General features: G+C 44.1%; 1 pseudogene, besides 5 other annotated features; it reads left to right on the plus strand.

Annotated features, from left to right (window-relative positions):
- PAICSP3 (phosphoribosylaminoimidazole carboxylase, phosphoribosylaminoimidazole succinocarboxamide synthetase pseudogene 3) lies at nt 2,918-7,023 on the plus strand (annotated as a pseudogene).
- Nucleotides 20,855-21,055: a silencer, noted in NCBI's record as "peak5896 fragment used in MPRA reporter construct". NCBI's record gives its function as "represses an SCP1 promoter by STARR-seq MPRAs in K562 erythroleukemia cells {active_cell/tissue: K562}" and the evidence as "EXISTENCE:reporter gene assay evidence [ECO:0000049][PMID:32103011]".
- Nucleotides 23,944-24,448: an enhancer, noted in NCBI's record as "H3K27ac-H3K4me1 hESC enhancer chr6:74057704-74058208 (GRCh37/hg19 assembly coordinates)". NCBI's record gives its function as "activates a minimal SCP1, AML or CMV promoter by ChIP-STARR-seq in naive H9 embryonic stem cells {active_cell/tissue: H9 hESC(naive)}" and the evidence as "EXISTENCE:reporter gene assay evidence [ECO:0000049][PMID:30033119]".
- Nucleotides 24,449-24,952: an enhancer, noted in NCBI's record as "H3K27ac-H3K4me1 hESC enhancer chr6:74058209-74058712 (GRCh37/hg19 assembly coordinates)". NCBI's record gives its function as "activates a minimal SCP1, AML or CMV promoter by ChIP-STARR-seq in naive H9 embryonic stem cells {active_cell/tissue: H9 hESC(naive)}" and the evidence as "EXISTENCE:reporter gene assay evidence [ECO:0000049][PMID:30033119]".
- Nucleotides 24,953-25,457: an enhancer, noted in NCBI's record as "OCT4-NANOG-H3K27ac-H3K4me1 hESC enhancer chr6:74058713-74059217 (GRCh37/hg19 assembly coordinates)". NCBI's record gives its function as "activates a minimal SCP1, AML or CMV promoter by ChIP-STARR-seq in naive and primed H9 embryonic stem cells {active_cell/tissue: H9 hESC(naive and primed)}" and the evidence as "EXISTENCE:reporter gene assay evidence [ECO:0000049][PMID:30033119]".
- Nucleotides 25,458-25,961: an enhancer, noted in NCBI's record as "OCT4-NANOG-H3K27ac-H3K4me1 hESC enhancer chr6:74059218-74059721 (GRCh37/hg19 assembly coordinates)". NCBI's record gives its function as "activates a minimal SCP1, AML or CMV promoter by ChIP-STARR-seq in naive and primed H9 embryonic stem cells {active_cell/tissue: H9 hESC(naive and primed)}" and the evidence as "EXISTENCE:reporter gene assay evidence [ECO:0000049][PMID:30033119]".

Here is a 27,693-nt window from a genome sequence, read left to right on the forward strand (position 1 = left end):
GAAGGAAACTACATTCTGAGAACTTTTTATTTGCCTTTATTTGCTCTTTGTCCGACTATAATAATTATAACCTTTTACAGTCTTTTGAATAAAGATTTTGTTGTAAACAAACTTAAAAAGAACTTCTAAAACCTAAAATCTATTAATAAAAATTGAATAATTATAAAATACTTACAAATGAAATTATGTGGGCCAGATGCAGTGGCTCATGCCTATAATCCCAGCACTTTGGGTGGCCAAGATAGGAGGATTACTTGAGCCCAGGAGTTTGGGACCAGCCTGGGCAACATAGTGAGACCCTCACCTCTATAAAAACAATAATAATAATAAATTTAATTTTAATTTTTAAAAAATGATGTGATGTCTAGAATTTGCTTCAATCTGGATATGGGAAATATGATAAAAACAAGATTATTGATAACAGGTGAAGCTAGATAATAGGTAAATTAAGTTCATTACACTGGTCCCTCTATCTTTGTCTGAAATATTTTGTTATAGAAAGTAAAAAAAAAATAATTAATTTTTTTTAAAAAAAGAATGAGTTCTGCCGGGCGCGGTGGCTCACTCCTGTAATCCCAGCACTTTGGGAAGCCAAGGCAGGCGGATCATGAGATCAGGAGATCAAGACCATCCTGGCTAACACAGCGAAACCTCATCTCTACTAAAAATACAAAAAAATTAGCTGGGCATGGTGGCGGGCACCTGTAGTCCCAGCTACTTGGGAGGCTGAGGCAGGAGAATGGTGTGAACCCAGGAGGTGGAGCTTGCAGTGAGCCAAGATTGCCACTGCACTCCAGCCTGGGCGACAGAGCAAGACTCCATATCAAAAAAAAAAAAAAAAAAAAAGAATGAGTTCAAATTCTATAGCCAGATACGGAAAGGAAAAAAGCTTGAGAGTAGGTTAAGAAGGGGTATTTTACTTGTCATCTTATATCCTTCTCTACTGTGTGTGTATTAAAAAATACAGCATTAAGCCTGGGCACCGTGGCTCATGCCTATAATCCAAGCATTTTGGGAGGCCAGGGTGGGTGGATTACCTGAGATCAGGAGTTTGAGGCCAGCCTGGCCAACATGATGAAATCCCATCTCTACTAAAAATAAAAAAATTAGCCGGGCATGGTGGTGGGCACCTGTAATCCCACTTACCCAGGAGGTTGAGGCAGGAGAATTGCTTGAACTGGGAGGCAGAGTTTGCAGTAAACTGAGATCGCGCCATTGCACTCCAGCCTGGGTGACAGAGCAAGACTTCGTCTCAAAAAAAAAAAAAAAAATAGAAATCTTGGAATACATTTTAATAACAGAAAAAGCTCAACAGATATGCATTTAACAGAGAATAAAACTGCAAAACTTCCCAGGTTCATAAAGGTGCCAGGTAGGCCAGGCGCAGTGGCTCACGCCTGTAATCCCAGCACTTTGGGAGGCTGAGGCAGGCAGATCCCCTGAGGTCAGGAGTTCGAGACCAGCCTGGCCAACATGACGAAAACCCATCTCTACTAAAAATACAAAAATTAGCCGGGCGTGGTGGTGGGCACCTGTAATCCCAGCTACTCGGGAGGCTGAGGCAAGAGAATCGCTTGAACATGGGAGGCGGAGGTTACAGTGAGCCAAGATAGTGCCATTGCACTCTAGCCTGGACAATGAGAGCGAAACTCCATGAAAAAAAAAGAAGAAAAAAAAGTTCCAGGTAAATTTAGGTTGTTTTTTTTATCATTGCTAGTTGTTGATATTGTTCTCTTCTTGCTTCACCTTTGTCTGCAATTACTCAAACTGCTGTGATAGCTGCTCCTCTTCTACAGAGCTGGAGTTCCGCATGGCTGGGGTTCAGTGTGCCAGGAAGCCCTTGGACCAATCAGACTCAGCAAGCTGACTCATGGCTGTTCTTCCTACATATGAGAAAAAATGTGACAATTCTTCCTATATATGAGAATAATAGTTTGATAAATGACAACTAGGAGAGCACGGCACTCAAGTATTGAGCCATTCCCTTCCAAAAAAGAACTTCTACAACTTACAATCCACAGGGTAGAGGGTAGGAGAAATGAGGAAATTAAATGTTCTTCAAAATCTTTATCTTCTGGCCAGGTGCAGTGGCTCACGCCTGTAATCCCAGCACTTTGGGAGGCCAAGGCAGGCAAATCATGGGGTCAGGAGTTCAAGACCAGCCTGACCAACATGGTGAAACCCCGTCTCTACTAAAAATACAAAAATTAGCAGGGAATGGTGATGCACACCTGTAATCCCAGCTACTCAGGAGGCTGAGGCAGGAGAATCACTTGAACCCGGGAGGCGGAGGTTGCAGAGAGCCAAGATCATGCCTCTGCACTCCAGCCTGGGTGACAGAGCAAGACTCCATCTCAAAATAAAATAAAATAAAACAAAACAAAATAAAATAAGGATGCAATCAATCAGTTTAGGCCCTGGTAAAGAAAATGAAGTGTTCTTGACTTTGGCTACAAAGTACCTTAAAGGATCTTAGACCAACTGCAGAAGGAGGCTGACTGTACCCAGACTCCCACAGTTAATGAAGTTTGTCCTTATGTAAATGATGGTTATTATGCTGAAAGATGATTGGTAAATGAACTTGGAAGTTCTTCCCTTTTCTCTTTTCCTTTTATGTATTTGATGATCTCTGGAGGAGTTTATGATGAAGACTGCTCTGAAAAAGTGTCCTAAAAATTCTAAGACAAAGGCTTCTTTGCCTCCTAAATAAGACACTGAAAAACAGCAAGCTTAAGAATCACCATAAATAAGATTCTAGCTCTACCTAGTGGCCAAAAATGGGATTAACCCCCTGAAATGAGGAATTTTACCAAATTTGCAAAAATGTGAGACATCTTAACAGAAAATAGGGAGATAGAGGGGGACCCAAATGTTGTTAAAAGGACAGGCACTAGGTTAAAATACGTATGTATGGTTGCTCTCTTCCCAGCACAGTCGCAGTCCTCAGCCCACTCAGGATAATGGCGACACCTGAGGTACTGAACATGAAAAAAAACTGTATGAGGCCAGGCGTGGTGGCTCACGCCTGTAATCCCAGCACTTTGTGAGGCCGAGCTGGGCGGATCACCTGAGGTCAGGAGTTCAAGACCAGCCTGGCCAACATGGCGAAACCCTGTCTCTACTAAAAATACAAAAATTAGCCGAGCGTGGTGGCAGACGCCTGTAATTCCAGCTACTCAGGAGGCTGAGGCAGGAGAATCACTTGAACCCGAAAGGTGGAGGAGGTTTCAGTTAGCCAAGATTGTGCCATTGCACTCCAGCCTACGCAACAAAAGCAAAACTCTGTCTCAAAAAAATAAATAAAAATTAGCTGGGCAAGATGGTGGGCACCTGTAGTCCCAGCTACTGGGGAGGCTGAGACAAGAGAATCACTGGAACCCTGGAGGCAGAAGTTGCAGTGAGCCGAGATTGTGGCATTGCACTCCGGCCTGGGCAATGAGAGCGAGACTCTGTCTCAAAACAAAACAAAAACTGTATGAAGGTAAAACAAAAGAAGTCTACAGATTGTTAGATGGTCCAGGAAAAGTCCTCCTGAAGTCCAAGGACCCAATTGCAGTGGTTAATGCAGCTAGAAAAAATCACCTGGAAGGGTGGTTTTCAGTTGTTACAGGAAGCAGGTATTAAAACTGTTTTCACCAGAAAATGTGGAGAGACAGCTTTCATTGCACCCTAGTGTGAAGTGGTTCCAATTGAATGGGTTTGCAGGATAGCAACTGGTTTGTTTCTCGAAAGAAATAAATCCCAGTGTCAAGGAAGGATATAAGTTTTATCCATCTAAAGTGAAGATGTTTTTCAAGGATGATGCCAATAATGACCCACAATGATCTGAGGAACAGTTGATTGTTGCAAAATTTTGCTTTATTGGACTTGTTATAGGCCAAACTGAAGGGGATATCATGAGTCATGCTACACAGGTTATTTTTGAAATACTGGAGAAATCCTGGTTACCCCAGAACTATACCCTGGTTGATATGAAGATTGAATTTGGTGTTGATATAACCACCAAAGAAATGGTTCTTGCTGATGATTCCTGGAGACTGGCCATTACGAGATTGAAGCCAACAGAAAGACAAACAGTCTTACTGGGAGCTCAAAGAAGTAACTCCTGAAGGGCTCCAAATGGTAAAGAAAAGCTTTGAGGCCGGGCACGGTGACTCATGCCTGTAATCCCAGCACTTTGGGAGGCCAAGGCAGGCAGATCACCCAAGGTCAGGAGCTCGAGAGCAGCCTGGCCAACATGGTGAAACCCTGTCTCTACTAAAAATACAAAAATTAGCTGGGCGAGGTGGCGCACGTCTGTAGTCCCAGCTACTCGGGAGGCTGAGGCAGGAGAATCACTTGAACCCGGGAGGCAGAGCTTGCAGCGAGCCAAGATCGCCTCACTGCACTCCAGCCTGGGCGACAGAGTGAGACCCCATCTCAAAAAAAAAAGAAAAAGAAAAAGAAAAGAAAAGAAAAGCTTTGAGTGGGTTGCAGAGAGAGTCAAGTTGCTTTTGAAATCGGAAAGTTAGTGCACAATTGTAGTATTGATGAGCTCTATTTCTGATCTTGGTCACTGTGAAAACATCAAGGTCTGTAGAAATGTTGGCACTCCATGTGAACTATCCACACATAGAGGACCAAATGAAACCCTAAAAATTAAAGCTGCGTGTGAAGGGGATGGCATTGCTGTTGTACTTGTGGCAGTGGCAGGCAGAAGCAATGGTTTGGGACCAGTGATGTCTGGGAACACTGCATATCCAGTTATCAGCTGTCCTCCCCTCACACCAGACTGGGGAGCTCAGGATATGTGGTCTCTCTTTGAGTACCTAGTGGTCTTGGCTGTTCAACCATCCTTTCTCCAGAAGGATTAGGTCAGTTTGCGGCTCAGTATTTGGATTAAACAACCATTTGGTATGGGGCAAACTGCAAGCAGGCATTTTGAACACATGGATTTCCTTGAAGCTGGCTGACAAGAAAATCAGATAATGTAATTTATGAGAAAGAACATCGTTGCATTTTTTAGGGGGAAAACTGTAAATTTCTAATTTAGCTGCAGGAAAATCAAGATGAAAAGGTTATTTTAGAGAACACAAGTAAAATTTATTAGTGAATGAATGCTTCCCTAGATCCATATTAATAAATATGACCACCTAACCCATCGTTTCTTGAGCTAGACACCAACATTTTTCAGCCAGTCTTTATCATTCCTCTGATTTTACCCGTTTTTCTTAAGTATTGGTGGTCTCTAGTATTGAGTTTCTTCCTTAATACTGATTGGATGATCTTAACTCTCTCAGCTAAAACTAGCATTACTGATTCCCAGCCATGTGCCTCTAGACTTGGTTTCTTTTTTGATTTTTGGTGGTGTTTGTTTTGAGTCAGGGTTTCACTGTCACCCAGGCTGGAGTGCAGTGGCATAATCCTGGCTGACGGTTGCCTCCTGCTCCTGAACTCAAGTAGTTCTCTCACCTTAGCCTCCCAAAGTGCTGGGATTACAGGAGTGAGCCACTGTGCCTGGCTAGATTCTTATTTTCAACTGTCCATTTCTCCCTGTACATCGCATGGCCATTCCCATAAAAACCAGAGTGCTCCCAATTTTATTAATCTTCCATCTAGCCTATAACTTTCGGTATACTCACTGTTGCAAGTCAGAAGCTTGATTTCATCTTTGATGTTTTTCTCTGACCTTTCATATCTCACTATCACCAAGTCATATTGATTTTAATTTCTGATTATCCCTTGAGTTTACCCTGTTTCTCATCCTCTGTACAAAAGCCTCAAGTGAGGATCAAATTCAACATTATCCTGATCTATACCAGTCCCCATTCTCAATCCAGCCTTTTCCAAGTTGATTGCCCAAGGACTTCTAACATAATATACTCTTAACTATTTTGCACCACAGACTTCTTTGAAAATATATATGCTGTTGACTCTCTCTGGAGAATATTGCACACATAAAATTTACCAACAGATTTCACTGGTTCTTGGGTTCTCCTGAAGCCGATCCATGGTTTGTAAATTAAGAATTGCTGATGTGGGCAGGGCATGGTAGCTCACACCTGTAATCTCAGCACTTTGGGAGGCCAAGTTGGGTGGATCACCTGAGGTCAGGAGTTCGAGACCAGCCTGGCCAACATGGTGAAACCCCAGCTCTACTGAAAATACAAAAATAGGCCGGGCGTGGTGGCTCACACCTGTAATCCCAGCACTTTGGGAGGTCGAGGCAGGCAGATCACAAGGTCAAGAGATCGAGACCATCCTGGCCAACATGGTGAAACCCTATCTCTATTAAAAATACAAAAAAAAATTTAGCCAGACATGGTGGTGGGCACCTGTAGTCCCAGCTACTCAGGAGGCTGAGGGAGGAGAATCACTTGAACCCGGGAGGCGGAGGCTGCAGTGAGCTGAGATCACTCCACTGCACTCCAGCCTGGGTGACAGAGCGAGACTCTGTCTCAAAAAAAAAAAAAAAGAAAAGAAAAGAAAATACAAAAATAAGCCAAGCGTTGTGGTGCATGCCTGTAATCCCAGCTACTCAGGAGGCTGAGGTAGGAGAATTGCTTGAATCTGGGAGGCAGAGGTTGCAGTGAGCCAAGGTCGTGCCACTTCACTCCAGCCCAGACAACAGAGCGAGACTCCATCTCAGAAAAAAAAAAAAAAAAGAATTGCTGATATGACCCATGAAGGGAACTTATTTTCCTCATAATTTTTGGACTGCCACACATTGCTACCTTTAGTTCTTTGAAGGCTTACATTTTTAAAATTAAAACCTATGTATTAGTAGAGCTTTATCTTCACTGCCTCCATGAAACCTTTTGTGACCACAATGACTACAAGTAATTCTTTCTCTGTTGAATTGTAAGCTCCAGAATAGAAGAAAATGTCATTGTACACTGTATTTGCCTCACATTGTGTTATGCTCTGATGTGCTATGTTTAGCTATCTGCCAGAGATGGATAAATTATAAAACTCATGTGTACTACTTAAGTTTCCATCTTATACTGGTTTGTCCAGAACAACTAAAAGGATTTAGAAAATTAAAAAACAAAAAACAACAACAAAAAAACCCTGTGGTCAGATGTTCAATCTTTGGCCGGGAGTGGTGATTCACACCTGTAATCCCAACACTTTGGGAGGCTGAGGCAGGGGGATCACTTGAGGCCAGGAATTCAAGACCAGCCTGACTAACATGGCAAAACTTCATCTCTACTAAAAATACAAAAAAAAAAAAAAATTAGCTGGGCATGGTGGCACACGCCTCCCAGCTATTCAGGAGGCTGAGACACAAGAATCATTTGAACCCAGGAGGCGGAGGCTGCAGTGAGCTGAGATTGCACCACTGCATTCCAGCCTGCGTGACAGACTGAGACTCCTTCTCATAAAAATAAAAATAAAATAAAAAATTAGTCAAGTGAGATGGCATGTACCTACAGTTCCAGCTAATTGGGAGGTAGAGGCAAGAGAATCTCTTCTGCTCAGGAGTTCAAAGCTATAGTGAGCTATGACTGTGCCACTGCACGCCAGCCTGGGTGACAGAGTAAGACCCCATCTTGAGAAAGAAGAAAGAAAAGAAAAAGATGACCAAAAAGAATTGGCTGATTATCTCTCTACCATGGACTTAGTCCCTAACTAAAAATGAAGAAAGTTGGCTATTTACAACATGTAGAAAAACACAACAACAGAAACAATCCTTCATAGCAAACCCATGAAAATAAGAGGATATGGAATGGAAGGAAAACTTCATAGTTAAGGTTGGCAGGTAAAATATAAGATGCTCAGTTAAATTGTATAAGTATCTCCCAAATACCTAATATTTAAGGATTTCTTTTCAACAATTGACATCACAAAGTTAACAAATGGGTGACAGATTTGAAGAAGATACTTGTAATACACACAGACACACACACACACACACACACACACACACACACAACTAAACTAAAAGACATTGATATGTAAACCATGGAAGGAATCCTTGCAAATAAACAAAAACAGGATCTGGATCCCCATAAAATAATGGCCAAAGAACATGATTAGGTAATTCACAGAAAGGGAAAATAAATGACTTACAAGTATATCAGATAATATACCTAACTGCTGGGAAATGCAGGTTACAACAATAAGGCACAGAAAAACCAAAGTCAGAGGACTGACAATATCTCACTTCAAGACTTAGTATGAAAGCTTGGCTGGGTATGTCTCTACTAAAAATATAAAAATTAGCCAGGCGTGGTGGCAAGTGCCTGTAATCCCAGCTACTCAAGGGGCTGAGGCAGGAGAATCGCTTGAACCCAGGAGGCAGAGGTTGCAGTGAGCCAAAATCGCACCACTGCACTCCAGCCTGGGCGATGGAGCAAGACTCAGTCTAAAACAAAACAAAACAAACACACACACACACACACACACACACAAATCTATTTTTTAAAAAATGATAGTAGGTAAGACAAGCTTCAGCCCATTGCCCACCTTGTGGGTATAAAAGGGAAGCTTGATCACTGGTAGAGATTTGATAAAGACAAGTGTAGAGAGCTTCAGAAGTACCACTCAGAGAGCTTGCCCTGTGTCCTCTAGAATTTGGGAATGGGGAGGCTGGTAACTGACCCATGCCTAACTAGTCCTAAGGCAAGAGGCTGGCCAGCTACCCTAGCTCCCACAAGCAAGAAGTGTCTTCAGTGAGAAGAGGTTACACGTCCATGAAAAGAGGAGCAAAGGCAGCTGCTTCCTGTGGACCAGATTGGAGCCATCGTTTGTTGTCTTGAAAAGGACACCAGCAAGATGGCCCAGGCCAGCAGAGTGGATGTGGTGGAAGCACAAAGCAGGCAAGAAGAAAAAGAGCAAGGATTCAGTTCAAGAGATAAAGTGAATGCTTTTGAGAGAAATCATGTTATGTGCCAGGCTGCAAAAATGATTAGACAGGGTTCCTGTCTCTGTGCTTTCCAGCCATTGGAAGGTAAGTGGGTATTTAAATAATTTCAATATAGCGTGATGCTGAGGAGGTTAGATTTTATCCTGTAAGGCTCGGATGTCAGTGCCACTGAATGATTTAAGGGGATTTCACAATCAGATTTGGTGGCAATGTGAAATAGAGTTATGATGGGGCTAAATATGGAGGCAGAGAAAACAGTTAGATCAAAACATCAATTGCTGAATTCAAAATGAGTGTTAAGAGCCTGACCTAAGAAAGTGGTAGTAGATACGGAAAAGAAAAGGCAACGCAAGAAAAATCTGTGCAAGAGCCACAACAGACAAAACAGGCACACAAGGATTAATATGAGATTTACAATCGTAGTACTTCCGATGGTCTTAACCCAAGTGACAGGGTTAAGATTTGCGAGGCCATCAGCAACTCCTGCAATTGCCTCAGTTCTTGGCACCAAATTTAAATGGGGGTGATAAAAAGAGTGAAAAATAACAAAATAAGATACTATTTTATTCATACAGTCTGACCAAAAAAACTGGGTATATGAAAATTTTGAGAATGGGAAGAAACTGACACAATGCATTTTTGGCAGAAACGAAGACTGGTACAGACATTCTGGTGCTCAATGTACTCATATTTAGTAAAATTGGTTATGAAAACCATAAACATATCCTACATCACAGAAAGCACACTCCGAGAAAATTATCTGAGAAATTTCCCCATGTGCCCATAGAGGATACTCATCACAGCAGTTTGTAGAAGTAGGGAACTAAAAGCAATCTAAATATCTAACACTAGGGTGAAGTATCAGTAAAATATGTAATGTTGGCCAGGCATGATGGCTCACACCTGTAGTCCCAGCACTTTGGGAGGCCAACAGTGGTAGATCACTTGAGGTTAGGAGTTCAAGACCTGCCTGGTCCACATGGTGAAAACCCATCTCTACTAAAAAATACAAAAATTAGCCAGGCTTGCTGGTGTGTGCCTATAGTCCCAGCTACCTGGGAGGCTGAGGCAAGAGAATCACTTGAACCTAGGTGTTGGATGTTGCAGTGAGCCAAGATCGCACCACTGCACTCCAGCCTGGGTAACAGAGCAAGACTGTCTCAAAAAAATAAATATTCCGGGCCCAGTGGCTCACACCTGTAATCCCAGCACTTTGGGAGGCCAAGCCAGGTAGACCACAAGGTCAGGAGTTCGAGACCAACCTGGCCAATATGGCGAAACCCCGTCTTTACTAAAAAATACAAAAATTAGCCGGACATGGTGGCGCGTGCCTGTAGCCCCAGTACTCAGGAGGCTGAGCCAGGAGAATCGCTTGAACCGGGGAGGCGGAGGTTGCACTGAGCCAAGATCCTGCCACTGCACTCCAGCCTGGGCGACGCAGTGAGACTCCATCTCAAAATAAACAAATAAATAAATAAAATAAAGAAATAAATCTCCAGGCGCAGTGGCTCACGCCTGTAATCTCAGCACTTTGGGAGGCCAAGGCAGGCAGATCACGAGGTCAGGAGATCGAGACCATCCTGGCTAACACGGTGAAACCCCGTCTCTACTAAAAATACAAAAAAATTAGCCAGGCGTGGTGGCTGGCGCCTTTAGTCCCAGCTACTTGGGAGGCTGAGGCAGGAGAATGGCATGAACCCGGGAGGCGGAGCTTGCAGTGAGCCGAGATTGTGCCACTGCACTCCAGCCTGGGCAACAAAGCGAGACTCCATCTCAAATAAAAAAAGAAAGAAAGAAATAATGTAATGTGTGCTTTGGACCACAAAGCAGCTATTAGAAGAAATAAAGATACACACAGAAATATATAGAGGGCTTAAGGGGGTGGTATTATATTTTAAAAGTAAGAAAGAATTAAATCAGCCAGGCATGGAGGCTCACCCTGTAATCCTAGCACTTTGGGAGGCCAAAGCTGGAGCACCATTTGAGCCCAGGCATTTGAGATAAGCCTGGCCAACATGGTGAAATCCCCTCTCTACAAAATATCAAAAATTAGCTGAGTATGCTGGCGTACACCTGTAATCCCAGCCACCCAGGAGGCTGAGGTGGGAGAATCGCTTGAGCCTGGGAGGTTGAGGCTGCAATGAGCTGAGATCATGCCACTGCACTCCAGCCTGGGCAACAGAGCAAGAATCCGTCTCAAAAAAAAAAAAAAAAAGAATTAAATATATAAGACAGTAACATCTGTGTAAATGTTAATCATATACATACACAGAGCCATACAATATTTTAACAAGGCCAGGCACAGTGGCTCACACTTGTAATCCCAGAACTTTGGGAGGCTGAGGTAGGCGCATCACCTGAGCTCAGGAGTTTGAGACCAGCCTGGGCAACATAGTGAGACCATGTCTCTGCAAAAAAATTTTTTTAGTCAGGCGTGATGGTGCGCACCTGTAGTCCCAGCTACTCGGGAGGCTGAGATAGGAGGAGATTGCTTGAGCCCAGCAGGTCAACGTTGCAGTGAGCCATGGATTGCACCACCGCATCCAGCCTGGATGCCATAGCAAGACCTTGTCTCAAAAAGAAAAAAAAAAGATAACTAGACAGTGAAGAAACTAGACAAGGCTGGCCGGGTGCAGTGGCTCACGCCTGTAATCCCAGCACTATGGGAGGCCGAGGCGGGTGGATCACGAGGTCAGGAGATTGAGACCATCCTGGCTAACACAGTGAAACCCCTTCTCTACTGAAAAAACAAAATACAAAAAATTAGCCAGGCATGGTTGCACGTGCCTGTAGTCCCAGCTACTCAGGAGGCTGAGGCAGGAGAATCGCTTGAACCCAGGAGACAGACATTGCAGTGAGCCGAGATCGCGCCACTGCACTCCTGCCTGGGTGACAGCGTGAAACTCCATCTCAAAAAATAAATAAATACATAAATAAATGTCCTGAATCTGGTAACTGTGCTATACTTATGTAAGAGATGATCCTTGTTCTTAAGAAATACATACTGAAGTATTAGGCCGGGCGCAGTGGCTCACTCCTGTAATCCCAGCACTTTGGGAGGCCGAGGCGGACAGATCACTAGGTCAGGAGATCGAGACCATCCTGGCTAACACGGTGAAACCCCGTCTCTACTAAAAAATACAAAAAAAATAGCCGGGTATGATGGCGGAGGCCTGTAGTCCCAGCTACTCGGGAGGCTGAGGCAGGAGAATGGCATGAACCTGGGAGACGGAGCTTGCAGTGAGCCGAGATCGCGCCACTGCACTCCAGCCTGGGCGACAGAGCAAGACTCCGTCTCAAAAAAAAAAAAAAAAAAAAGAGATACATACTGAAGTATTGAGGGATAAATGGACATAATATAGTCAACCTACTCTCAGATGGTTCCAAAAAATAATAATATATTACATATGTATGTGTATGAGAGAAAGGAAGAGAAATATGAGTGAGAAAATATATGTTGTGAAATGTTTATAAGGGTATATGGAAGTTCTTTGTATTATTTTATCTGTGAGTATGGAATTATTTCCAAATAAAAAGTTTAATTGTTTTGACATCAAAACACAACAAACTAAGAAATTCATCGAAATATGGAAGGTGGCTGGGCGTGGTGGCTCACGCCTATAATCCCAGTACTTTGGGAGGCCAAGGTGGAAGGATGGCTTGAGCCCAGGAGTTCAAAATGAGGAAGAACTCGCCAGGAGCGGTGGCTCACACCTGTAATCCTAGCACTTCGGGAGGCCAAGTCAGGGGGATCACAAGGTCAGGAGTTCAAGACCAGCCTGGCTAAGATGGTGAAACCCCACCCGACTAAATTAGCCGGGCGTGGTGGCGGGCACCTGTAATCCCAGCTACTTGGGAGGCTGAGGCAGAGAATCACTTGAACCCAGGGGGCAGAGGCTGCAGTGAGACGAGATCGCACCACTGCACTCCAGCCTGGGCAACAGAGCGAGACTCCATCTCAAAAAAAAAAAAAAAAAAAATATGAGGAGGAACTCAAGTGATCCTCCCAGTTTAGCCTCCCAAAGTGCTGGGATTACAGGCATGAGCTGCCTCACCAGTCGCTTAGTCTTTCTTATAAACCTTTTTTAACCTTAAAGAAATAATTTAAGAACTAATATCATTTGTGATGAAAAATGCTTATTTGAAGTTCAATATTTTCTTCAATTTCACCCCAGTTTTTCTTTCATCTATAAAATTCAAGTAAAACTAATTTCAATAATGTTCACATGTTAGTGGTAACAATTTCTAGTAGTAATGGGATGGGTGCTGTTTCTACCTTCATCTTTATACTTTTCTGTTCTGCTTGAAATGTGTTACACTGCATTAACTCAACTTTACAAGAATAATTAAATGATCATCCCATAAACAGGAAAGCAAATATGTAAGTGCATCAAGTTTTTTAAGTTGTTGATTTCTGATGGTGGGGATGATCCTTATAACTAGGGGTGTGTGTGTGTGTGTTGTGTGTGTGTTTTATTTTCAAAAAAAGATAGGAAGGCATCAAAATATATATGGTGCTCTGAACAAGAAACAAGTGTTTTATACAAGTGCCTCTTTCCTCCCAGTCAATATCCCCTAGGCCAGGTCAGGCACGGTGGCTCACGCCTGTAATCTCAGCACTTTGGGAGGCTGAGGCAGGCGGATCGTCTGAGGTAAGGAGTTCCAGACCAGCCTGGCCAACATGGTGAAACCCCATCTCTACTAAAAACACAAACAAATTAGACGGGTGTGTTGGTGAGCGCTTGCAATCCCAGCTACTCAGGAAGGAGGCTGAGGCAGGAGAATCACTTGAACCCAGGAAGTGGAGGTTGCAGTGAGCTGAGATTGTGCCATTGCACTCCAGCCTAGGCAACAGGAACAAAAACCCCATCACCAAAGAAAAAAAAAATTCCCTAAACCGAAATGTGATTCTCCAGATAGGTAGTGTCCTTGTCAATATGGTGGCAGGAGTTTTCGGCATGTCCTTGAGGGAAACTAATAAGGGCTCCTCTAGGCTTCTCCAAAGCTGCTGAATGTGCTTTTTTTTTTTTTTTTGAGACGGAGTTTCACTCTTGTTGCCCAGGCTTGAGTGCCATGGCACAATCTCAGGTCACCGCAACCTCCACCTCCTGGGTTCAAGCGATTCTCCTGCCTCAGCCTCTTGAGTAGCTGGGATTACAGGCATGCACCACCACGCCTGGCTAATTTTTTGTGTTTTTAATACAGAGAGGGTTTCCCCATGTTGGTCAGGCTGGTCTCGAACTCCCAACTTCAGGCGATCTGCCCGCCTTGGCCTCCCAAAGTGCTGGGATTACAGGCATGAGCCACGGCTCCCAGCCCCAGGGCACATTCTCTTGATCGTGGTGATGGTTTCATGGGTATATGTGTATATATATCGATAGTCAAAATTCATCAAATTGTACACTTTAAATATGTGTGATTTATTTCATCAATTATACCTCAGTAAATCTGTTGAAAATGCTCAAAAGCAAAACAAAATAAATAAACAACTAGATACCCGTACATATCTGTTAGAAAAGCTATCATTTTTGGCTGGCCACGATGGCTCACACCTATAATCCCAGCACTTTGGGAAGCTGAGGCAGGTGGATCACTTGGGGTCAGGAGTTTGAGACCAGCCTGACAAACATGGTGAAACCCCATCTCTACTAAAAATACAAATATTAGCCAGGCATGGTGGCGGGTGTCTGTAATCCCAGCTACTCAGAAGGCTGAGGCAGGAGAATCGCTTGAACCCAGGAGGCAGAGGTTGCAGTGAGTCGATATCACGCCATTGCACTCCAGCCTGGGTGACAGAGCGAAACTTCGTCTCAAAAACAAAAAAAAAATTAGCCCAGTGTGGTGGCTCATGTCTGAATTCCCAGCTACTTAGGAGGCTGAGGCAGGACAATCGCTTGAACCCGGGAGGCGGAGGTTGCAGTGAGCTGGGATCGCATCATTGTACTCCAGCCTGGGCAACAAGAGCGAAACTGTCTCGAAAAAAAAAAAAAAGCTAACATTTTTAAAATGATGACTTACCATGTCTCCCCCTGGCAGGCACAAATTAAAGGATTTATAATAGTAAATTGGGGATGAAGTAAAGTACAAATAGCCAATATTCCTCTCCATACACAAAATCCTCTGGGACAGTAAAAGATCTTAGTAATATCTACAAAGTACCAAATAACAATAAAAAATATTCCTATAAAAGCCCTGTAATAGAATGTTAAAATAGAGCTCTTTGTAGTTTAGCCTGAGGCCCCAAATCTAAGAAAAATAGATCCAAATACCCACACATTCTATTAGAGGAAGCTAGAGCATCGATGGAGGGCTTGCAAAGGGCTTGCTTGGCAAAAATCCAGCTCTACCAGCATTAGCCCATCACCCAACTCCAGTCTATGTACAGAAGGCTAAAATTTTAATGAGACAGTAAGGATTTCTTTAGAAAGATTGTGTTCACTCCCATGAGAGAGGCAAGGGATACTTCCCCAACCTCCTCCCAAGCTAAGAGAGGGGTCTTCAGAACTACCAAGATATTTTGTTCTGTGTCCTCTAGAATTGATGGATCACAGAGTCTAGTAAATAGCTGATACCTGAAATAGTCTACAGGCAAAAGGCTGGCCAGCTGCCCCAGTGGCAAAGCAAGGGGAGGTGACTAGAGTGGAATAGGCGGTGCTTCCCCTGCCGGTGGGCAAAAGTGCATGGCCTAGAGAAGAGAGCCAGCGTGAGTCATCCTGAGAAGAAGTCAGCCCAAAGAATTCCAAGGAGAGCATACATCCACTCCAGCTTTTGCAGTCCTCTTAGGAGGTCTTCAGAGATCCCTCTACCAGGGCCCTCTAACAGCAGGTTACCATCAAGAGTGAAGAGACCTCAGATTGAGTGGTCATTTATGATGCCCTCTATCCCCTGGCTGATATGAAACTGTGCTGGACATTTTCGTTTCTGAAAGTGAACCCCACACCCCCTACCCCTACACACACACACAAAAAAGGCTGTGAAACCTCGTTGAGATTTCATTTAGGAGATGTGGAAGAGTAATTTGACTGAGCAAATTGAATGGTGAATAGTGAGATTTGTTTTGTTTTGTTTTGTTTTTTTGCATGCACTGAGCCAAATCCAACTCAATAAAAACTAGTTACACTGGTAATACCTATTAGATACAAAAACAAAACTTGTTTAACGTGTCACTAGGCCATTTTGTAATTTTGTGAACATCATAGAGTATACTAACATAAACTTAGATGGTATAAACTGCTACAACCCAGTCTATACGGTGTAGCCTATTGCTCCTAGTCTACAAACCTTTACAGCATGTTATCATACTGAATACTGTAGGCAATTGTATGCATTCCATCATTGACTGAATCATCCTTACACGGCAGTGCATGACTGTGTTTGAGTGCTTAACCACCTGCCAGATGCCTTTCTAAGCCTTTAACATATTAACTCCTTTGATCTTCACAACTTCAGGAGGTACTACAATTATTACCCTTATTTTCAGATGGAGAAACAAAAACACAAAGAGTGTATCTAAGGACATACAGCTACTAAGTTTTCATAATGCTCAGCCACTTCCTTGTAGATAGAACAAGCAAAGAAAGCTCCCCTTCTCCACAAACACAACCCAGAGCAATTCTTTTCCTTATTAGATTCATGTTTGTATCATTTAAACAAGACCTGGGCAGGTGCGGTGGCTCAAGCACATAATCCCAGCACTTTGGGAGGCCAAGGCAGGTGGATCACCTGAGGTCAGGAGTTCAAGACCAGCCTGCCCAACATGGTGAAACCCCATCTCTACTAAAAATACAAAACTTAGCTGGGCGTGGTGGTGGGTGCCTGTAATCCCAGCTACTAGGGAGGCTGAGGCAGAAGAATCGCTTGAACCTGGAAGGCAGAGGTTGCAGTGAGCCGACACCAAGCTACTGCACTCCAGCCTGGGCGACAGGGTAAGACCTTGTCTCAAAAAAAAAAAAAAAAACAAGACCTATGCTGATGAATGTAGAACACTTCTTGTGTTCTCTTAACCTCCAAGGTAGAAAGGAGGCAAGAGTCACATTAACTGAATTCACTTATTTTTAAGCCAGTGGCTCTCAATCTTTAGTGTGCATCAGAATCACCTGGAGGACCTGTTAAACCATGGGTTACTAGGACCCACCCAAGAATTTCTGACTCAGTAGGTCTGAGGTGGATCTGAGAATCTGAATTTTTGTTTTTTTGTTTTGTTTTGTTTTGTTTTTGAGACGTTGTCTCACTCTGTTGCCTGGCTGGAGTGAAGTGGAGCAATCTGCCTCACTGCAGCCTCTGCCTCCCAGGTTCAAGCAATTCTCCTGCCTCAGCCTCCTGAGTAGCTGAGATTATAGGTGCCTGCTACCATGCCTGGCAAATTTTTTTATTTGTGGTAGAGACAGGGTTTCACCATGTTGACCAAGCTGGTCTCTAACTCCTAACCTCAAGTGAGGTCTTTCCAAAGTGCTGGGATTACAGGTGGGAGCCACCATGCCTGGCCTGAGAATCTGTGTTTCTAACAAGTCCTCAGATGATGCTGGTCAAGGGGCCACTTTGAGAATGACGGTATTAGGACCCTTAACTTCCTCAACTTCAGTTTTCTCACTGATAAAATGGGCATAACAATAGTGATGTTGTGTCTATTAATGGAGACATGGAAGAGGAAGTGCTTAGTTAATTGTACAGCTATAGAGGAACATGGTTAGCAATTACTATTATTGCACATTTGACTTTAAGAGTGAATGCTAGGCCAGACTCAGAGGCTCACACCTGTAATCCCAGGACTTTGGGAGGCCAAAGCAGGCAGATCATTTGAGGTAAGGAGTTTGACACCAGCCTGGCCAGCATGGTGAAACCCCATCTCTACTAAAAATACAAAAATTAGCTGGGCCTGGCAACCTATGCCTAGTCCCAACTACTCACGAGGCTGAGGCAGGAGAATCGCTTGAATCCAGGAGGCAGGGGTTGCGGTGAGCTGAGATCTTGCCACTGCACTCCAGCCTGGGGACAGAGTGAGACTCTGTCTCACCAAAAAAAAAAAAAAAAAAAAAAAAGCCGGGTACGGTGGCTCACATCTGTAATCCTAGCACTTTGGGAGGCTGAGGTGGGTGTATCACCTGAGGTCAGGAGGTCGAGACCAGCCTGGCCAACATGGTAAAACCCCATCTCTACTAAAAATACAAAAGTTAGCCGGGCATGGTGGCGGGTGCCTATAATCCCAGCTACTCAGGAGACTGAGGCAGGAGATCACTTGAACCCAGGAGGCAGAGCTTGCAGTGAGCCAAGATCACACCACTTGACTCCAGCCTGGGCAAAAGGGCAAAACTCCGTCAAAAAAAAAAAAGAAAAAAAGAAAAAGAAAGAGAGAGAGAGAAAGCAAGCAAGCAAGCAAGAAAGAACGGAAAAGAGAGGGAAGGGGAGGGGAGGGGAGGGGAGGGAAGGGAAGGGAAGGGAAGGGAAGGGAAGGGAAGGGAAGGGAAGGGAAGGGAAGGGAGCTGATGCTGCGCTACGGTAAGTGTAGATGTTTGATCTTTCAGACCTTACCATAGCAATCCATATTCAAATATGTGGGCATAAGGAGGGACTCAATATCATATGGAATGAAGGGAAGACCATCTTCACGTGTTAACTCCTCATCCAATCTGCCAATACAATAAATTTTCTTATATATCTTGCCAAGAATAAGAATGTTTCCCACACATACATACACACACTGGAGTTTCACTGTATACAAATTGTTGTTGTTGTTATTGTTGAGATGGAGTTTTGCTCTTGTCACCCAGGCTGGAGTGGAATGGCATGATCTCAGCTCACTGCAACCTCCGCCTCCCAAGTAGCTGGGATTACAGGTGCCCGCCACCACACCTGGCTAATTTTTTGTATTTTTAGTAGAGATGGGGTTTTGCCATGTTAGGCAGGCTGGTCTCGAACTCCCAACCTCAGGTGATCCGCCCGCCTTGGCCTCCCAAAGTGCTGGGATTACAGGCATGAGCCACCGCACCTGGCCCACTGTATATAAATTTAACTGATCCAAAGATCAGCGAGAATTCCTTTCAGCTACCCAAAGTGTGAATATCCCACTGGGCTGATAGATGATAGATGCACCTGAAAGCAATAACTGTGATATATGTTGTATGGCAGACAAACCTGAGAGCAGTAACTTAAGAAATGAAAGTTGCCATGTAGCACTTGCTGCCAGGTGGGTGCTAAATGAAGAAGCTATATAAACGGCATGCTTTTTGCAAATGGTTGTTGTTCTCCTGTCCAGTCCACTGTCACTGGACTGTCCCTGTCTATAAGTTCCCCCTAATAAAACCCTATGTCTCCTCCACTGGCTCCAGGTCTCTTCTTTGACTTCTTGAACCTGGTGCCATCCTTACTGAAGTTAATAGGGGTCTGGCACTACAGCTGACTGTTGGAGATATATATTATTCCAAAACCTAGGCATTAAATGCAGGCAAATTAATTCATATCATGTTCAACTTTTAGAGAAATATCTAGCTATGACTAATCATGAGGAATTTTGTACTCACTGTATTTTTGCACTAATTTTTGTACTAACTATATTTGGCACTTTTAAGCTAAAGCCCCTTAAAAATGCAAGTAGGTGGTATCTCCCTTTATATCCTGCACACAAGATTACATTTGTTAAACTGCTGTGTCAGAAAGTTCTCCACATTGAGCCAGAATCTGCATCCACAAACTTCCAAACACTAGAACTTATTTTGCCTTCTAAAATATCACAGAATAGTTCATCTTTTGTTGATGATAAAGCCTTCAAGATGTTAGACAGATGCCTTCTCTCACTGCACCCTAATCCTCCTTCATTCATCTTATGACATTATCTTAAAAAATTATGCTTACTGTTAAAGAAAATAATTCAAAATTAGTAAGCTTGCTTTTAGTTAAATAAAACAACTAATTTCCCTTCTTCAGGACATACTGAAGTTTTGCATGAAGGACATGACCCCTCAATCCTATTTACATTACCAAATGACTTGCTGGTAGATAATCATATCTGAATTCAAAAGACTAAAAAGTTTCTCTTTGGAGTAAAAATTAAAGAAACAAGAATTACCTCAAAAAGTTCCCCACACTCCTGGCCCTTCTCTCTAACCCAGAGATCTGTGAACTACATTTTTTTCTTTCACACGCAGCACCCCTAGGCCATGCAACAAGTATTTGAACAAAAAGGAACCACTTCAGAAACTAGAAATGGGACCTTCAGAACCATGTGGGCTGAGAACCAGCCCTAGCTTTAGCCCTCAGCCTCCCAAATGTTCAAACCAAAATATGATAGCCATTACAAATAAGGCTGCAAAGGACATTCTTTATAAAACAATTCCTAGAAGGTTGGTTTTTTTGGGCGTTTTGTTTTTGTCTTTGTTTTTTTTTGTTTGTTTGTTTTTTTCATTATCTCAGCTCATTGCAACCTCCCATTTCCCAGGTTCAACTGATTCTCCTGCCTCAGGCTCCCGAGTAGCTGGGACTACAGGCATACACCACCACACCTGGCTAATTTTCATATTTTTAGTAGAGATGGGGTTTTGCCATATTGGCCAGGCTGGTCTTGAACTCCAGACCTCAAGTGATCCGCTCTCCCCGGCCTCCGAAAGTGCTGAGATTACAGGCGTGAACCACGGTGCTTGGTCTCCTAGAAGTTATCTTGAATTGTAGTGTTGAGATGCAGAATATCAGGAACTTTTTCCAAATGGCATTGGTTTAAATGTCTGCCAAACTCACAGGTGAAAAAATGCATTTAATTGTGTCGGTGTACATTTCTAAGCTAGAGGCTGAATACTTTCTCTCAGAAGCATGTGGGTTATTTGCATTTCTTCATTTGCTGATTGTTCTGTTATGATATACTTACTGAGGATGAGCGCGGTGGCTCAACGCCTGTAATCCCAACATTTTGGGAGGCCAAGGTGGGCAGATTAGCTGAAGTCAGGAATTTGAGACCAGCCTGGCCAACATGGTAAAACTCTGTCTCTACTAAAAATACAAAAATTAGTTGGGTGTGGTGACATGTGCCTGTAGTCTCAGCTACTCAGGAGACTGAGGCAGGAGAATCACTTGAACCAGGAGACAGGGAGGTTGCAGTGAGCCAAGACTGAGCCACTGCACTCCAGCCTGGATGACAGAGCAAGATTCTGAAGAAAAAAAAAAAAAGAAAAAAGATATACTTCCTGAATTTTTTTGAGATGGAGTTTTGCTCTTGTTGCCCTGGCTGGAGTGCAATGGCGCTATCTCAGCTCACCGCAACCTCTGCCTCCTGGGTTCAAGCAATTCTCCTGCCTCAGCCTCCCAAGTAGCTGGGATTACAGGCATGTGCCACCATGCCCGGCTAATTTTGTATTTTTTAGTAGAGAGGGGGGTTTCTCCATGTTGGTCAGGCTGGTCTCGAACTCCTGACTTCAGGTGATCCGCCTGCCTCAGCCTCCCAAAGTGCTGGGGATTACAGACGTGAGCCACCTCGCTGGGCCTACTTACTGATTTGTGAGAATTATTTAACTACTCATGTATTAGCCACTTGCTCGTCCTTATATTGCTGATTTGCCCCTCACCCCACCTCATTTTGACTTTTTTAAAAGAATAGAGGCCAGGCACGGTGGCTTACACCTATAATCTCAGCACTTTGAGAGGCTAAGGTAGGCAGATTGCCGGAGGTCAGGAGTTCGAGACCAACCTGGCCAACATGGTGAAACCCCACCTCTACTAAAAATACAAAAATTAGCTGGGCGTGATGACACACACCTGTAATCCCAGCTACTCAGGAGGCTGAGGCAGGAGAATCGCTTGAACTGGGAGGTGGAGGTTGCTGTGAGCTGAGATTGTGCCACTGCCCTCCAGCCTGGGCAGCAGAGTGAGACTCCATCTCAAAAACATTAAAAATATAAAAAAAGAATGGGACTTTCCAATTTTTTTAGCTCCCTGATCTAGTATTATTTTGATTTATGATTTCTGCCTTTGATGTTGGGTTTACAGAAGCCTGATTATATAATTTATTATTTAAATATTTTTTTCTACCAGGTTTTTTTTTTTTTTTTTGAGACAGAGTCTTGCATTGTCATCCAGGCTGGAGTGCAGTGGCGCCATCTCAGCTCACTGCAAGCTCCGCCTCCCGGGTTCATGCCATTCTCCTGCCTCAGCCTCCCGAGTAGCTGGGACTACAGGTGCCCGCCACCACGCCAGGCTAGTTTTTTGTATTTTTAGTAGAGAAGGGCTTTCACCGTGTTAGCCAGGATGGTCTCGATCTCCTGACCTTGTGATCTGCCTGCCTCGACCTCCCAAAGTGGTGGGATTACAGGCGTGAGCCACTGCGCCCAGCCTTTTCTACCAGTTCTTACATTTACATTTTTAATTTATTTTTTAATTTATTTTTTAGAGACAGGCTCTTGCTCCATCACCCAGGCTGGAGTGCAGTGGTACAATCAGAGCTGACTGCCAGCTTCCAACTCCCGGGCTCAAGCAATCCTCCCACCTATCTCAGCTTTCCTGAGCAGCTGGTACTACAGGCATGTTCCACCACACCCAGCTAATTTCTTAATTTTTGTAGAGATCGCGTCTTGCTATGCTGCCCAGGCTGGTCTAGAACTCGTGGCCTCAAGCAATCCTTCCACCTTGGCCTCCCAAAGTGCTGAGATTACAGATGTGAGCCACAATTTTATTTTTAGTTTACAACAGGAACCTGGGGGTAGGGGGGTAAATCAAATAATCCTAAGTAATCATTAATCTTGGAAAATCAAGTTATAGGGCTTGAGTGAGAAGTGCCATCCTAACCAACCAACATCTTCTCATCACCCAGATGTCAGTAGGCTCTGCCAGCCTACCCCACCCACAAAATCACCATCCTGAACATGGGATAGCCCCTGACCCCAGCACTTGATTATCTGTATTCTTTAAAAGACAGATGGGTCTGGGACTCTTCTCATCAAAATTTACTAAAGCTTCAAAAAGAGATAAATTGTCTATCTGTTCCTCTTTTTAGTTCTTTTCCCTCCCACAGACCCCAAGCCCTATTTTCTTTTGCCCTAATACTCCTGTTTCTTTTGCCCTACTTGTCCCCATTAAATTCCCATGCCTGTGAAAGAAGTTTAGGCTAGGAGCCCTATGTTGCACATTTTCTTCTCCTTTTATAGTGGTACAATGAAATATTACAGTCATCTCTCCCTATCTGAGAGATTTGTTTCAGCACCCCCTCTCCCATACCAAAATCCACAGATGTTCAAGTTCTTAATGTAAAATGACATGTTTACATATAACCTATAAACATCCTCCCCTATACTTTTTAATAATCTCTAGATTACTAACAATACAAATGCTATGTAAATAGTTACATTGTATTGGGGTTTATTTGTATCTTTACTGTTGCATTGTTATTGTTTTCTTTCTGAATATTTTTGATGGGAGGTTGGTTGAATCCGTGGTTGCAGAACAGCGGATACAAAGGTTTGATCGTAGTTAATTTGGCTCTTTTGTTTTGTTTTACAGTACTGCTCCTTGCAGAACAGGGCTAACTCATGGGCAGTGATCCCAGGGTCAGCTAATTTGGCATTTTCATGAGGGTAAATCTTATCTATCCCCAATGCAACAATATTTAGACTGTTGAAGCTAGAAGGAAAAGAGGAATCCCATGAAACTAAGACCAGCTTTTGAGAATTGGAGTGAAGTTTGGAAAACCTGGTCCTTCCCTTTCTGCAGCAGAGATTGCAAAATGGCTACAAGACTTGGTGCAGCAGCCCCTCTCTGGACAAATTCCAACGCTGGAATTCTAGTGCCATACAGATAACTCCTCGAAAAAAATATTTCTGCCTCTGATTAGTTACCATACAATTTAATATTCCAAATTTCTTTCATGTAAGTAACACCCCAGACACTTGTTTTCTGAAAATAGTCTCTGAAATCCTGAAAATGTTCGTGGGCCACATTGTCATTTTTGTTTTCTTCCTAAAACACCACTCCTGAGTATGTAGCAAAGCAGACACTCAACAAATATATATTTAAATTTTTTCTTTTTTTTTTTTTTTTTTTTTTTGAGGAGTCTAGCTGTGTCGCCCATGCTAGAGCACAGTGGCGCAATCTTGGCTTACCACAACCTCTGCCTCCTAGGTTCAAGCAATTCTCCTGCCTCAGCCTCCCGAGTAGCTGGGATTACAGGCGCCCTCCACCACACCCAGCTTTTTTCTATTTTTAGTAGAGACGGGGTTTCACTATGTTGGTTAGGCTGGTCTCGAACTCCTGACCTCGTGATCCGCCCACCTCAGCCTCCCAAAGTGCTGGAATTACAGACGTGAGCCACCGCGCCCGACCTTCAACAAATATTTCAATAATGCCATTCAACAAATGAGTCGATGGGAACAGTGGAGAGACAGGGCAGAGCCATTAGAGAAGAATCAGAATCCAAACTGATCCTAGGATCCTAGCTGCCAGGGACAGGGAAACAGCTTATCTGAGTGGTTCCGGGTGGTTCCATAGTCACCTCCTGCTCAAAACCTTTGGATGGGTTACCTTTGCTCTCTGCAAGGTCTGCGAGGCCCCGGGGGGAACTGCCTCGCTCCCGTTCCGGCCATGCCCCAGCCGGCTCAACCTTCTGGCCTAGCCACCATCCTGTTCCCAGGGCTGCACTTCCCTTCCTCCTCGCCTGGCTCACTGCTGCCGGTCACTCAGATCTCACCCAAGGTGACTTCCTTGGGGGACCGTCCCTGACCTCCCTGCCCAGGTCTAGTCTCCAACATTTCAGCCTCCCAGCACAGCACCGGTGTTCATTTCTCGGATTCTTACATCCATGTGGCTCCTAACCAGACCGGAAGCTCCCGGAGGGCCCGCCTGTCTACAGAGGTTGGGAGACTTGCTCCAGACCACCCTGCAGGTGGCTTCAGTCCCAGGAGACCTAACAGCGCCTGCCTCGGAGCCCACTTGGGAATGAGTTGGGCATAGGTGACCCCGCGGGGCCCTGCGAGGAACACCCACACCCACTCTGGCTTCCCCTCTCCCGCTCTATCAGCCCACCCAAAGGGTAAAAAGTCTCATAGGGCCCGGAAGGGCGCGGTGGCTCACGCCTGTAGTCCCAGCATTCTGGGAGGCCGAGGCGGGCGGATCACCTGAGGTTAGGAGTTGGAGACCATCCTAGCCAACATGGCAAAACCCGGTCTCTACTCAAAATACAAAAATTAGCCGGGCACGCCGGCGCGCGCCTGTAATCCCAGCTACCTGGGAGGCTGCGCAAGAGAATCGCTTGAACCCGGGTGTTGGAGGTTGCAGTGAGCCGAGATCGTGCCACTGCACTACAGCCTGGCAACAGAGTGAGACTCCGTCGCAAAAAATAAATTAAAAATAAAAACATTTCATAGGGCCCCCAAAGAAATCACGTATACATTTAAATGTAAGACATAAATACCGGGAGGTGGTGTGATTGGTGGGATCTCAATTTCCTTAAATGGACAATGAGAATATTTTGAGAATTCAGTTAATAAAAGAGCCCAGCTTCTAGCCCCGCGGAGCTAGAAGCTCTCAATCAGCGTTAGCTATTGTTATTATTATTAGCCACTTTAGGGTTGGAGGATTACACTTGATTGGGTGTTTATCGCTTGTTATTTAAAGGCTTTCTTGGACTAAGCACTTGTTTTATCTCCTCTCCAAAACTCTTCCATCCCATTGTCAGACCCTCCTTAGGGCAGACCCCTCTCATCTGCATTACAAGAAAGCTTGAGGTTTCCTGTAATTGTCGCACTTAACCTTGGTGGAAAGCTGATCACCAGCTGCAAACTCAAAGAAAGAAATCCGCTCCAAGGCAAACCACCTTCAGACTTTTACTTCCAAAATTTTACCTATGAATTTTCTTAAAGTATTTTATTGCTGTTATTTTTGGTTTGGGGGATTGGGAAAGGGGAGCTGAAAAATTTTCAGTCCAGGACTTGCATGGAATTTATGGCAGATTCTTAAATTTCCCTCTTTTGCTACCATAATTGATACCTACTCAAAGTTTTCTGCATTTAGAAACTCTGCCTTTAAGAGGGAACTCTAGGCCAGGCACGGTGTCTCATACCTGTACGCTCAGAGCTTTGGGAAGCCAAAGCAGGTGGATCGCTTAAGATATTGAGTTCAATACCAGCCTGGCCAACATGGTGAAAACCCATGTCTACTACAAATACTGAAGAAAAAAAAAAAAAAAAAAAAGCTGGACATGGTGGTGCATGCCTGTGATCCCAGCTACTGGGGAGGCTGAGGCAAGAGAATCACTTGAACCTGGGAGGCAGAGGCTGCAGTGAGCCGAGATCATGCCACTGCATTCCAGCTGAGTGACAGAGACTCTGTTTCCAAAAAAAAAAAAGAGAGAGAGAGAAAGAATTCTAGACTTAAAGGACAAGGCTGTTAGTTTTATGTGCTTGATTTACACTGCAGAATTGGGGTTTCAAAAGTATCTGGTCTACATTCCCACATAGAGTCTTTCATGGCCAACTGATTCTCTGAAGGGTGCACTAGATGAGGGTCATCTGAGGGTGCTAACAACCAACTGTTAGTCCATAAAGCAAATTCAAGCTATCAGCACAAAAGACAGGGAAACTTCATCAGATTCAACAAAAAAGGGTGAGGCAATGGGGAAATAGGCAATCTCTATGATAATATTTAGCAAAATTATGTTTTTCCCCTTTGGACCAGCAATTCTCCCTCTGGGAATTTAACCTACAGACATACTACTGGCAGACTTGCAAAACAGTGGTATTGTTTTGGGCACAGTGGCTCACACCGTTAATTCCAGCACTTTGGGAGGCCAAGGCGGGTGGATCACCCGAGGTCAGGAGTTGGAGACCAGTCTGGCCAATATGGTGAAACTCCATCTCTACTAAAAATACAAAATTAGCAGGGCGTAGTGGCCCACACCTGTGATCCCACCTACTCAGATGGCTGAGGGAGGAGAATCGCTTGAATCCAGGAGGCAGAGGTTGCAGTGAGCCAAGATCACGCCATTACACTGCAGCCTGTGACAAAAGCAAAACTGTCTCAAAAAAAAAAAAAAAAGTTATTCAAAGTATTCATCTCATCTTTGTAAAAGCAAAAGATTGGGAATAAACTCAAAAGTCATTTTGTAGAGAATTAAATTGAATAATACCCAGCTGTAAAGGAGGGAAAATAATCTACACGTATAATTCCTTATATTTTTTAAAAACTCTTGAATGGACATTCAAGAAAATATTGCTTATTTTTGGGAAGTAGGAAATGTATGATATGAAATGAGATAGGAGGGAGACTTCTATCATTTTAGATTTTTTTTTTTTTGAGACAGTTTCCTTTCGCCCAGGGTGGAGTACACTGGTACGATCATAGCTCACTGTAACCCCAAGTTCCTGAACTCAAGCGAACCTCCTGCCTCAGCCTCTTGAGTAGTTAGGCCTACAAGCATGTGCCACTGTGCCCAGATAATTCTTTTTTTTTTTTTTTTTTTTTTTTTGAGACAGAGTTTCTCTGTCACCCAGGCTGGAGTGTAGTGGCACGGTCTTCCTCAGCCTCCCAGGTTCAAGCGATTCTCCTGCCTCAGACTTCCACATAGCTGGGACTACAAGCACCCGCCACAACGCCTAGCTAATTTTTGTATTTTTAGTAGAGACGGGGGTTTCATCATGTTGGCCAGGTTGTCTCGAACTCCTCACCTCGTCATCCACCCACCTTGGCCTCCCAAAGTGCTGGGAATACAGCCGTGAGCCACCACGCCTGGCCTTCCTTCAAAATCTTGAGCAGGAGCCAGGCTGAGTGGTCTAGGACCTTCCAGCCACAGGTCTCAGGGCTGGGACGGGGGAGGGTAAAAATGCCAATAGGGTACGTGACTGATCCCTTGGTCTCCACTCCAAATAAAGCTCAATAGC

The sequence above is a fragment of the Homo sapiens genome, chromosome 6, assembly GCF_000001405.40.
Source record: "Homo sapiens chromosome 6, GRCh38.p14 Primary Assembly".
Taxonomy (NCBI): domain Eukaryota; kingdom Metazoa; phylum Chordata; class Mammalia; order Primates; family Hominidae; genus Homo; species Homo sapiens.